Source organism: Homo sapiens, chromosome X (assembly GCF_000001405.40).
Source record: "Homo sapiens chromosome X, GRCh38.p14 Primary Assembly".
NCBI classification, from domain to species: domain Eukaryota; kingdom Metazoa; phylum Chordata; class Mammalia; order Primates; family Hominidae; genus Homo; species Homo sapiens.
The window spans coordinates 153,656,725-153,669,617 of NC_000023.11; the positions used below are offsets into that span (position 1 = coordinate 153,656,725).

Here is a 12,893-nt window from a genome sequence, read left to right on the forward strand (position 1 = left end):
GCATTCTGGCCCAGGGCTGCTCCCATCCCTCCTGGCTTGCTGGGCATGGAAGCTATGCCAAGGAGGGGAAGGCCATGAAGACCAGCAGCTTCTCCCCATAGGCTTGAAAGGCGCTCGCTCATTTGGATGATTGGTGGGCAACACCTGTGCCCAGCGGCATGATCGGTGGAAGTGACTTCTTGGAGGTGGGCTGGCAGGGAAGATTTTTTCCATTTAAAAAATATATATTCTAGTTAAAAATTTTAAGCCTGGTTTCCTAGGAGCTACCCTGTATCTGCCTAGCTTGGTGGTCAGCCAATGACTGGACAGAAGCTGTGCTCAAACATCTCAAGCCAGTAAGGCTTGTGTCCTTGGGTCTGGGTGTGGGTAGGGGAGCTTATTCAATGTTCAGGCTGCTTTAAGGTCTTCTGGGCTTTCCTTTCCACTGGGCCCTCTCACATCTCTTATATACACGTGCATAGTCCCAGGGCAGTCCAGGAGAGCGTGAGTAGCATGGGACCCCTCCAGTCTCTGGTCAGCTAGAAATATACTGCCGCAAGCACATCCATAGCCTCAGTTGAGTAGAGCTGATCTGTTTGCCCTTCCCAGCCCGCCCACCTCCAAGAAGTCACTTCCACCGATGACACCACTGGGCACAGGTGTTGCCCACCAATCCAAATGAGCGAGCGCCCTTCAAGCCTATGGGGAGAAGCTGCTGGTCTTCATGGCCTTCCCCGCCTTGGCATAGCCTCCATGTCCAGCAAGCCAGGAGGGATGGGAGCAGCCCTGGGCCAGAATGCCACAGACTCCCGCTGTTCTTACTCAAAATCCAGCCACTTGGATTATGAGTCATCTTCCGTTGACTTCCAGATCAAAAAGCTTGTTTTTGTCAGTTTGGTCCAGCTTTATAGTTACTTTTTTGGGGAGGTTGTTTGCTGTTATCCACGTTTGGCCATAGCTGGAGGTTCTGCCCTTTCTTTTTCTTTTCTTCTCTTTTTTTTTTTTTTTCAGACAGGGTCTCACTCAGTCACCCAGGCTGGAGTACAGTGGCAAAATCACAGCTCACTGCAGCCTCAACCTCCCGGTTCAAGTGATCCTCCTGCCTCAGCCTCCCAAGTAGTTGGGACCACAGGTTCGCACCACCACACCCAACTAATTTTTTTATTTTTTTGTCGAGACGGGGGTCTCACTATGTTGCCTAAACTGGTCTCAAACTCCTGGGCTCAAGTGATCTTCCCGCCTTGGCCTCCCCAAGTGCTGGGATTTCAGGCGTGAGCCACTACTGTGCCCAGCCAGTCCTGCCCTTTCAGCCTTTTTTGGCCCTATTCTTTAGATATATCTCTTATAAACAGCTTATAGCTGGATTTTTTAAAAATCCTAACTGGATAATTTAATCTATTTATTTTGCTTAATGTTTTTTGGATCTATTTTTAACATATTATGTTATACTTTCTGCTTATTCCAACGTTTTGGTTTCTTTTTTTTTTTTTTTTTTTTTTTTTTGAGACGGAGTCTCGCTCTGTGGCCCAGGCTGGAGTGGCACGATCTCGGCTCACTGCAAGCTCTGCCTCCTGGGTTCATGCCATTCTCCTGCTTCAGCCTCCCAATTAGCTGGGACTACAGGTGCCCGCCACCACGTGTGACTAATTTTTTGTATTTTTAGTAGAGATGGGGTTTCACCGTGTTAGCCAGGATGGTCTCCATCGCCTGACCTCGTGATCCACCCGCCTCGGCCTCCCAAAGTGCTGGGATTACAGGCGTGAGCCACCGCGCCCAGCCCCGTTTCCATTTCTTTATTTCCCTTACTTGACCTTTTTGTGATTAGCTGAATTTTCCTTCATTATTTGCTATTTTCTTCTACTAGTTTGGAAGTAGTACATCCTATTTATATTCTAGTTACTCTAAAAAATTTAACATGTATATTTGTCTTAACAAAACATAAAGTCTCTCAATATCAATACGGCCATGAGGGAATAAGAGGGTCCAGAATTACTGTCTCACCATAAACAGCTAGAAATTGGGCAAAATATATGAAAATCCATTGTTTTCAGATGGGGGACAGCAATCAGTGAAGGACTGTGGTCCCTGAGAGAAAGGAGACAGACTAGGAGAGCTCTACATCCCGGCTTTCTGACTCAGATAGAAGAGACATAAAAATGTGGCCCATATGGATTGCTTGAGCCCAGGACTTCAAGACCACTCTGGGAAGTATGGCACAACCCCATCTCTACAAAAAAATACAAAAAATTAGCCAGGCGTGGTGGTGCACACCTATAGTCCCAGCTACTCAGAAGGCTGCAGCAGGAGGATTGCTTGAGCTCAGGAGGTGGAGGTTGCAGTGAGCCGTGATCACACCAGTGCACTCCAGCCTGGGTGACAGAGAGGAATTTCAGTTTCTGGTCCAGCATGTAAGGAGCCTGCAAGTCATCAGTGTCTCCTAAGAAGAAGTAAAACCAGAACAGACTTAAAACTGAACACATATTTTGATATGTGTAATTGGAGGCTCTGAGGAAGAGGAGAAAGAGAAAGGGGCAGAATAAATATTTGAATAAATAATGGCTAAACACCAGCATTTGGTGAAAAGCATTCATCAGATCCAAGAAGTTCGAATAACCCCAAGTGAGATAAACACAAAGAGAGCCACTCATAGACATTTCATGGTAAATTATCGAAAGCCAAAGACAGACAATTTTGAAAGTATTATAGCAGAAGAAATAAATGACCCATATAGAAGGGAACCACAATAAAATTAACATCTGACTTCTCATCAGAAACAATGGAGGCCACAAGGGAGTGGAACAACAAACTGAAAGCACTGAAAGAAAAAAATACTATCAACCAAAAAAAATTTGTTTTGAGACAGAGTCTCAGTCTGTCACCCAGGCTGGAGTGCAGTGGTGTGATCTCAGCTCATCGCAGCCTCAACCTCCTGGGCTCAAATGATCTGCCTGCCTCAGCCTCCCAAAGTGCTCAGATTACAGGTGTGAACCACTGCACCCAGCCCCCAAATTTTATATCTAGCAAAACTATGCTTTAAAAATTGAAGCTGGGTGCATAGCTGGGTGCGGTGGCTCACGCCTGTAATCTCAACACTTTGGGAGGCCAAGGCAGGCGGATCACCTGAGGTCAGGAGTTCGAGACCAACCTGACCAACATGGTGAAACCCCGTCTCTACTAAAAATACAATAATTAGCCAGACATGGTGGCATGCACCTGTAATCCCAGCTACTTGGGAGGCTGAGGCATGAGAATCGCTTGAACCTGGGAGGCAGAGGTTGCAGTGAGCCGAGATCACATCACTGCACTCCAGCCTGGGTGACAGAGAGAGGCTCCATCTCAAAAAAAAAAAAAAAAAAAAAAAAAAAATTGAAGGTTTAAAAAAAGACATTCCCAGATAAACAAAGGCTAACATAGTTCATTGCTAGCCTGCCTCCTTACAAGAAATACTCAAGGAAGTCCTTCAGGCTGAAAGGAAATGACACCAGTTAGTAACTGGAATTCAAAGTAAGAAATGGAGAGCAGAAAAAATGGTTAATAAGTGAGCTAATATAAAAGCCTCTCAACATATTTTTATTCATTTCTTCTCTTTTAAAAACATAAGATTGCATTAAAAAATAGGTATTACACTGTATTTCAGGGCTTATAACCTATATAGATGTAATAAACATGGCATTACTAGCACAAAAGAAGTGGGAAAGAATGTAGCCATACTGAGGCAAAGTCTCCATATTTCACCAAAATTAAGTGAGTATTCATCTGAGGTGGATTGTGATTAGTTAAGACTCATAATGTAATAGCTAGAGAAAACCCTAAGAAAATAACTCAAACTTGGAGTGAATGAAGCATGTTTATGTCTAAATTTCTGCTTCAATGTAATTAAAAATCAACAGAGGAAAATTGGCCAGCACGGTGGCTCACGCCTGTAATCCCAGCACTTTGCGAGGCCGAGGCGGGCAGATCACTTGAGGTCAGGAGTTCAAGACCAGCCTGGCCGACATGGGGAAACCCTGTCTCTACTAAAAATACAAAAGAAAATTCAAATATAACAGATGGACATTTCAATGCTCTATTTTCAATAGTTGATGGAACTAGACAGAAGATCAGCAAGGATATATAAAATCTGAACAACACTATCAACAAATTTGACCTAACTGATACCTATAGAACACACCATTCAACAATTGCCAAATACACATTTTTTTCAAGTGCACATGAAACATTCTCCAGGATAGACCATAAAACAAGTCTCAATATATTTAAAGGAATTTAAATAATTTAAATAATATAAAATATTTCTCTGACTGCAACAGAATTAAATTATAAATCTAAAAAGATAGAAACCTAGGAAGTCCAAAATACTTGGAAATTATACAACACTCTTCTAAATAACTGGCACGTCAAATAAAAAACAAAGGAAATTAGAAAGAATGAAATGAGAATGAAAATGAAAACAAAACATATCAAAATTTATGGAATGCAGCTAAAGCAGTACTTAGAAGGAAACTTACAGCTTTAAAGGCCTATACCAGCAAAAAAAGAAAGATCTCAAATTAATAACCTACGTCTCTACCTTGACAAATTAGAAAAAGAAGAGCATGCTAAACCCAAAGCAAGCAGAAGGAAGGAAATAAAGATTAGCACAGAAACTAATGGAATTGAAAACAGGAAAACAATAGAGAAAAATCAATGAAAAGAAAAGTCAGCTCTTTGAAAAATCAGCAAAATTGTCTTGGGTAGAGTGACCAAAAAGAAAAGAGAATCAAATTACCAATATCAAGAAGAGAAAAGGGGGGCATTACTACTGACCTATAGAAATTTAAAGGATTATAAGAGAATGCTTTGACCACTTTATGCCAAAAACACTGGACAACTCAGATGAAATGGAGAAATTCCTAGAAAGACACATGACCAAAACTGACTTTAAAATAAATTAAAAATCTGAATAGACCTATACCAAGAAAATAAATTGAATTAGTACTTGAAAATATTCCCACAAAAAAAATCCAAGCCCCGATGGCTTCACTGGTGAATTCTATCAAATAACTAAAGAATGATTAATGCCAATCCTTCACAGACTCTTTCAGAAAATAGAGGAGTAAGAACACTTTCCATCTCATTCTATCAGCCCAGTATTACCCTTGCACCAAGTATATCACAAGGAAAAAAGCTACATATCAATATCCTTCATGAACTCCTGGATGCAAACATCTGTAACACAATATTTAAAAACTAAATCTAGCAGCACCTAAGGATTGGGCACCATCATCAAGTGGGATTTATACCAAGAACCCAAGCTTGATTTGACATCTGAAACTCAGTGTCATCCACCACATGAACAGAAAAGGACAAAAACCGTATGATCCTCTCAATAGGTGCATAAAAAGATTCGACAGAATCTAACATCCATTCATGATTTAAAACAGTCCTTTTGCGGGTGGCGGCGAGCGCAGAGGACGCCATGAAGGCCCCGGGCACACGACTAGAGTACCAGGTGGTGGGTCGCTGCCTGCCCGCCCCCAAATGCCACACACCGCCCCTCTACCGCATGCGAATCTTTGCTCCTAATCATGTCGTCGCTAAGTCCCACTTCTGGTACTTCGTATCTCAGTTAAAGAAGCTGAAGAAGTCTTCAGGGGAGATTGTCTACTGTGGGCAGGTGTTTGAGAAGCGCCCCCTGCGGGTGAAGAACTTCGGCATCTGGCTGCGCTATGACTCCCGGCGCGGCACCCACAACATATACCGGGAATACCGGGACCTGACCACCGCGGGCGCTGTCACCAAGTGCTATCGAGACATGGGCGCCCGGCACCGCGCCCGGGCCCACTCCATCCAGATCAGGAAGGTGGAGGACATCGCAGCCAGCAAGTGCCGCCGGCCGACCGTCAAGCAGTTCCACGACTCCAAGATCAAGTTCCCGCTGCCCCACAGGGTCCTGCGCCGTCAGCACAAACCACGCTTCACCACCAAGAGGCCCGATACCTTCTTCTAAGGGCAGGGCCCTCGCCCGGGTGTGCCCCAAATAAACTCAGGAACGCCCCCCACCCCCCCCCCAAAAAAAAAAACCTTTCTACAAACTAGGAACAGAATGGAAGTTACTCACGATAAAGGGCATCTATGAAAAATCCACAGCTAACATCATACTTGATGATGAAAGACTAAACGTTTTCCCTCTAAGATTAGGAACAAGGAAAGGATTCTTTTACCACTTGTATTTAATGTAGTATTGGAGGTTCTTGGTAGTGCAATAAGCTGGAGAAACAAAAAGAAAAAAAGAGAAAAGGAAGGGAACAAGGAAATTATAAGCATCCCAATTGGAAAGGAATAAGTAAAAATTTTCTTTACTTGCAGATGACACGTGCTGTGTGTAGAAAATCACAAAGAATCCACACAAATAAAACCTACTAGAACTAATAAAAAGGGCCAGGCATGGTGGCTTATGCCTATAATCCCAGTGCTTTGGGAGGCTGAGGCAGGAGGATTACTTGAGCCCAGGAGTTCAACACCCACGTGTGCAGCATAGTGAGACTCCATCTCTAAAAATAAAATAAAATAAAATAAAATAAAATAAATAAAATAAAGTAAAGTAAATTAGAACCGAGCATGGTGGCCTGCTCCTGTAGTCCCAGCTACTCTGGAGGCTGAGAGGGGAGGATTTGCTTGAGCCCAGGAGTTCAAGGCTGCAGTGAGCTATGATTGCACCACTGCACTCCAGCCTCTAGCCTGGGTGACAGAGCAAGACCCCAGTCCCCCCCAAAAGAGAGAGAGAGAGAGCTAATAAAAAGTTTAGCAAGGCCGCAGAATACAAGATCAATATACAAAGAAAATCAATGGTTACTTCTATACACTTTTAACGAACAATTCAAAAATGAAATTATGAAAACAATTCTGTGTACAAGAGCATAAAAAGAATAAAATTTACAAATAAATTTAACAAAAGAAGTGCGAAATGTATACACTGAAAACTGTAAAACATCATTAAAAAAATTAAAGAGCAAAATAAGTGGAATGATATTCTGTGTTCATGGATTGGAAAACAACATCGTTTTAACATAGCAACACTCTCTGGCTGGGCGCGGGGGCTCACGCCTGTAATCCCAGCACTTTGGGAGGCTGAGATGGGCAGATCTCCTGAGGTCAGAAGTTCGAGACCAGCCTGGCCTACATGGTGAAACCCCGTCTCTACTAAAAATACAAAAAAAATTAGCCAGGCATGGTGGCAGACACCTGCAATCCCAGCTACTTGGGAGACTGAGGCAGGAGAATCATTTGAACCCGGGAGGCAGAGGTTGCAGTGAGCCAAGATCATGCCACTGCACTCCAGCCTGGGTGACAACAGTGAAACTCCATCTCAAAAAAAAAAAAAAAAAAAAAAAACCCATGTGCATCAAAAGACACTATCAAAGAGTGAAAAGATAATCCACAGAATGGGAGAAAATATTTACAAATCATATATCTGATAAGGATCTAATATCCAGAATACATAAAGAACCCTTACAGCTCAACAATTAAAAGATGAATTATCCAATTAAAAAAAGAACAGAAGTTTCGAATGAACATTTTTCCAAATAAGATATATAAATAATAAATACATGAAAAGATGCTCAATATCATTGGTCATTAGAGCAATACAAATCAAAACCACAATGAGATAGCATTTCACACACACTAGAATGGCTATTTTAAAAATCACACACAATAACAAGTGTTGACAAGGATGGAGAGAAATTTGAACTTCACGCATTGCTGGTGGGAATGTAAAATGGTGCCGTTGCTTTGGAAAACAGCTTGGCATTTCCTTCAAAAGTTAAACATGGAGTTATCATATGGCCCAGCAATTCTACTCCTAGGTATATACTCAAGACAATTGAAAATCCACATCCACACAAAAACTTGCACACAGTTGTTCATAGCAGCATTATTCACAACAGCTAAAAGTGGAAACAACCCAAATGTCCATCGATAGTTAATAAAATGTGGTCTATCCATACAATAAAATATTCTTCAGCTGTAAAAAGGAATGGAGTACTGATCCATGCTACAATATGGATGAACCCTGAAAACATCATAGTAAGAGTAAGCCAGACACAAAAGCCCATGTATGGTATGATTCCATTTATTTGAAATATTGAAATAAGCAAATCCACAAAGATAGAAAGTCAATTAGTGGTTGCCAAGCACTGGTGGGGGGGGGTGCGGTGTGTAAATGGGGAGCTACTGCAAATGTGTACAAGGTTTCCTTTTGGGGTGATCAAAATGTTCTGGAATTAGATGGTGGTGATGGCTGCAAAACACTGTAAATATACTAAACACTGCTGAATTGTACGTTTTACAGGGTGAATTTTATGGTATGTGAATTGTATCTCAATAAAAACAAATTTTTAATTTGAACGGAAAAGGATTGAAAAAACTATACCAGTTAAATGTTAACCAAAAAAAGTTATAGTTGCTATGTTAATATCAGACCAAGTAGACTATAAGGGAAAATCATTGCTAGTATTAACATATATCACTATATTTTGATCAAATATTCAACTTACCTAAAATACATACCAATTCTAAACTCAAATACACTGAATAACATAACTTATAAATACATAAAGCAATAATTGAAAGAACTACAAGGAGAAACTGGCAAAAAGCAGTTGAGCCTCTACTCAGGACATCATGTGAGGAAAGACTTGGTTCCCTGGGGTGAGGGAAACTGTGGAAATCTCCACGGGGTGTGAGGGAGGAGCTCTGGAGAGATGGGCATGAGCTTTTGTTTTTTAAAGACCAGCATGATAGTAAGCATGGGCTTTTTCTATTTCTCAAAAGGGGGCAGATAATAGGGTTGAAAAATATTGAAAAATTATCTTAAAGCAAAAATCAGATCCTGTCACTTGTTCTGTTTAAAACGTCCGTGGCTCCCAGTGCCCTCTTGAGAAAGTTCACTTTCCAGGCTGATCTCTACCCACCTCCTCTCACAACCTCCCTCAACCAGACGGGATTCTTTGTTATTTCTGAAACATTCCATACTTCTTATCTTGCCCACCTGGTGTTGGGGCTAGTGATAGGGATCCGTGGATGAAGCTGGGGTGGGGTGGAGAACATGGTTGCCACATGCCCAGACAGTGCCTGGCAGGAAGAAACATGTGGCTTATAGTGCCAACTCAGCCACCGCCTGGCCAGGGGGCCCGACTTGGTCACTTCGTCTCTTCAACAGACCTGTTGCTCTCCCGGGTTCCCTGGCAGCATCCTCAACTCCCTCACAACCCCCCCACCACCCCCATTGAGTCGATGACCAAGCTCCATCTTTCCAGTAGTCCCACATCTCTTGCCTTGTTCTCCACATGGTTCAGGCTTGTCTCCCAGCCACCAGCCCTGCCCTGCCCCACTTCCAGGCCATCGCTCACACCGAACTCCAAAGGGATCTTTGTAGGGCCCAGCTCCCATGCCCCATTTCCACCACTGTGCAAAGACCTCCCTGGTTCCCACTTAACAGGACATAAAATTGAGGCACAGAGGAGCTTAAAGGCAACACAAGCCAGGTGGCATGGTGGCTCACACCTGTAGTCCTAGCTACTCGGGAGGTTGGGGATGACTTGAGCCCAGGAGTTCTGGGCTGTAGTGTGCTATGTCCATCAGGTGTCCGTACTAAGTTCAGCATCAATATTCTGGGAGCAGAGGACCACTAGGTTGCCTGCGGAGGGGTGAAACAGCCCAGGTCGGAAACGGAGTAGGTCAAAACTCGTGTGCTGATCAGTAGTAGGATCACACTTGTGAAGTGAATAGCCACTGCACTCCAGCCTGGGCAACACAGTGAGACCTCATCTCGTAAAAAAAAAAAAAAAAATGGCAACACAAACCATCTGCAAGACCCCAACTCAAATCCAGCGTGGGTTCCCCCAGCCCAGGGTTCTCTTTCCTTCAGACACACAGAGTTTGCATTCACAAAGAGAAGTGGGGAAAGAATGCCGCCTTGTTTTCTTCAATTCCCCACACAATCATGTCCCAAGCAAGACCTCGCTTGCATGGATGCAAGCAAGAGGATGCAGTGGCAGAGTGTGGGTTCAAATCCTCACTGTGCCACAAGCTGTATGGCTTTGGCTCACTTAGCCTCTGTATGCCTCAGTTTCTCCATATGTGAAGTGGGGATGATGATCATGATAGCAGCTATCTCACAGGTGAGGTTCAAGTTAATACATGGAAAGCTCTTCAATAAAGAGTCGTTACTAGCATGCTTTTTTTTTTTTTTTTTTTTTGTAAAGGTGGGTTCTCGCCATCTTACCCAGGCTAGTCTCGAACTCCTGGGCTCGAGGGATCAGTGTTCTTTTTATTAAAAGGAATAAGCCTTCCAGAAATACCAGATACAATGCTAGATACATATTTGCAAAGAGAAGGGTGAAAAGTAAGTCTACTTTCATGCCCGTCAGGCACCTCGAACTCACCACATCCAGAATCAATCTCATTACTCCTCCCCCAAAGTAATGCCCGTTGAACTCTTCTTGATGAATGTTCTGCTGCCAGAAACATGATCTACCTGGATCCCCCCGCTTCATTCCCCACCTGCAACCCATCACCAAGACCTGTCCACATGACTCCCAAAGAGCTCCTAGGACCACCTCCGTGTCTCCCTGTCCCTAGGGTGGACCCACAGGTTGAGCTTCCCTTGAAACTCCGCTACCCACAGGTTTGCTTCAAGATAGAGCACGTGACCCACCCTGTGTGGCCCAGAACAGCAGAGACAGCTTCCTTTTGTGATGCCCACCAGGGTTCCCCTGACCCTCAATTCTGGTCTGGTTCCAGACACCCCAATTCCTAGCAGCCGGCCCCGGCTCAGCACCTAACCCACACTGGGCAAGGATGCTCTCTGGCTACAAACCCCTTCGATGGCTCCCCACTGCTCCTAGACTACAGCTCCAGCTCCTTCCCCTGCCAGGCTTGGTCTGGCCCGTTCCTCTTGCTGCCAGCCTCAGCACCAGCCCTGAGCCTGAGAAGCCCTCACAGTGTCCAGCACAGCTCCCTTGCCATCACTTCACACACACACACCACCTTTTGCCTTTGGCTAAACCAGTCCTTTCTCTCTCCCAGGCTGCCATCCCACTGCCTAGGTGACCCAAACTGCCTTCCTCATATGCGGTCTCGGAGGGATGAAGGAGGGGTGCCGCCTCTGCTTGACCTGGGGGTTCCCCCTCTCGCCCCTATCACAGATGGGCAGGACCTCTCCCCCAAGGTTGGACTTCCCCAAGGCAGGATTTGCAGGGTGTGGGGTAGGGGCAGTCGCGGAGAGGAATGGATTTGAGAGGCTGCCCAGGGTGCTGAAGGAACTAGGGAGGCTAATGGACGTCTAAAGATGGGGCCGTGGCTCCCCCTGCTGACGGGAGGCCATATTGCACCCTGTGTCAAGGCAGCCCAGAGCTGGCTTAAGCTCCAAGCCGAAGCGATCTGGCCACGTGCCTGGACTGGAAGAGCTGGCTGTTCTGAGCGAGTGCCGGTTTCTTCTGTAAGGCTGGCTCTGGCACTCCTGCTCATTGCTCCCAGACCCACAAAGATCATTTTTATCATCCCCGTAAAACCACCCCTCCAATAGAGGGCGTCCTCCTGGAGGGCAGGCGCCTCTTCTGATAGGCCCAGGTCAGTGCCCAGCACCTGGCCCAGAGTAGAGGCTCAGTCAACATCTGACCAAAACAACAGCAAGTAGGTATCGTGGGAGTCCAGTGTGAACAACAGAGAAGATGGGAAGGGGGGCCCACAGCAGGGGTGCCCACAGGCAACAAGGCCCCACGTAGGGGTGAGGGCAGGTGGGACAGGTCTTGGAGGCGAGGAAGCCGTGGTACTGGCTGACTGAGGTCCCCTGTGGGGCCCAAAGCCTGGAGCGAAGGATGGCCTGGGAGCGGCTGTGGGGATGGAGGAGGAGGCTGCCCACCCACCTCCAGCCTGCTCTCCCTGGTGGAAGCCAGGTCCCCTGGCTCCAACCCTGAACCCCACTCCAGCCTTCACCCACAAGACCCAGGCCAGCCTTGGTTTGAGCCTCACCGCCTCCCTTTGGGGCCCAAAGTTCAACAAGGAGAGTGATCTTCTCTACCATTCTCGCCAGTCAAGCCATGGGTCATCAGGCTTACACTCTGAGGGCTGGCAGGGAGCAAGGGTCTCAGAGTGGAGGGAGGGGTGGCCAGCTTGCCTGGAACTCTCGCTGGGGCCAAGAAGTGGCTCTAGGGGTCTTCCCCTGATGGGCCCAAGAGAAAGGCCTAGAGGGGCCAGCAGAGCTTTGGGACCCAGCAAGGCAGGGCTCTGGAGCCCTGGCCCCTCCAAAATGGAGGTTGGTGGGGCTGGGGCCACTCAGACCAGAGGACAGGCCACGGCTCTCCACTTCAGAAGCCACCGCCAAGCTGCCACTGCTCCCAGAGCCCCAGCTGCCAGCCCAGGTCTACCCCAGCCTGGAGCCTGAGGGTTCCAAAGCCCCCGCACAGCAGAGGGGAAGAGGGCCCTGTGTCGCCCTCTCCTGGACAAGGAGCTCCTCTCACCCCCTGACCCTGGGGTCCCCTACTCTTCTGCTCGACAAGATGGCCTCTGGCCATCAAGAAAGGGAAGGGAGGGAGGGATGGAAGGTGACAGTCCTGGGCTCTGGTCGCCCTCCATGCACCTGTGAGCCCTTCCCAGTCCCAGGCACCTGGCTGAGGCACCCCAGGCCCGGCCCTGCATGGCAGGGGCACTGGAGCACATCCCTGGGGGTCTGGAGCCAGCACTCAGCCTCCTGACTGCGCCCCCTGCTGGCAGCCCAGCAGGCGTGCGCTGCCTCCACTTTGTCCCAGGACCCCAAGGCTGGGCAGTTACACCTCTGGGGTGGCAGAGCTGCCCGGCCACGCTGCCACTTGTTGGTGCTTTGGGGGGAGGGGACAGGAAGTTTTTGGACAGTTGGAAACTTGTCTGGGGAA

At 46.4% G+C, this 12,893-nt stretch overlaps 2 pseudogenes, besides 3 other annotated features; both read left to right on the forward strand.

Moving 5' to 3' along the window:
- On the forward strand, positions 5,403–6,017 carry RPL18AP16 (ribosomal protein L18a pseudogene 16; annotated as a pseudogene).
- RN7SL687P (RNA, 7SL, cytoplasmic 687, pseudogene) lies at positions 9,509–9,792 on the forward strand (annotated as a pseudogene).
- Positions 10,554–11,055: an enhancer, noted in NCBI's record as "H3K4me1 hESC enhancer chrX:152932733-152933234 (GRCh37/hg19 assembly coordinates)". NCBI's record gives its function as "activates a minimal SCP1, AML or CMV promoter by ChIP-STARR-seq in naive H9 embryonic stem cells {active_cell/tissue: H9 hESC(naive)}" and the evidence as "EXISTENCE:reporter gene assay evidence [ECO:0000049][PMID:30033119]".
- Positions 11,056–11,555: an enhancer, noted in NCBI's record as "H3K4me1 hESC enhancer chrX:152933235-152933734 (GRCh37/hg19 assembly coordinates)". NCBI's record gives its function as "activates a minimal SCP1, AML or CMV promoter by ChIP-STARR-seq in naive H9 embryonic stem cells {active_cell/tissue: H9 hESC(naive)}" and the evidence as "EXISTENCE:reporter gene assay evidence [ECO:0000049][PMID:30033119]".
- Positions 12,765–12,814: a silencer, noted in NCBI's record as "silent region_21068". NCBI's record gives its function as "represses an Ori minimal core promoter by ATAC-STARR-seq in GM12878 lymphoblastoid cells {active_cell/tissue: GM12878}" and the evidence as "EXISTENCE:reporter gene assay evidence [ECO:0000049][PMID:35858748]".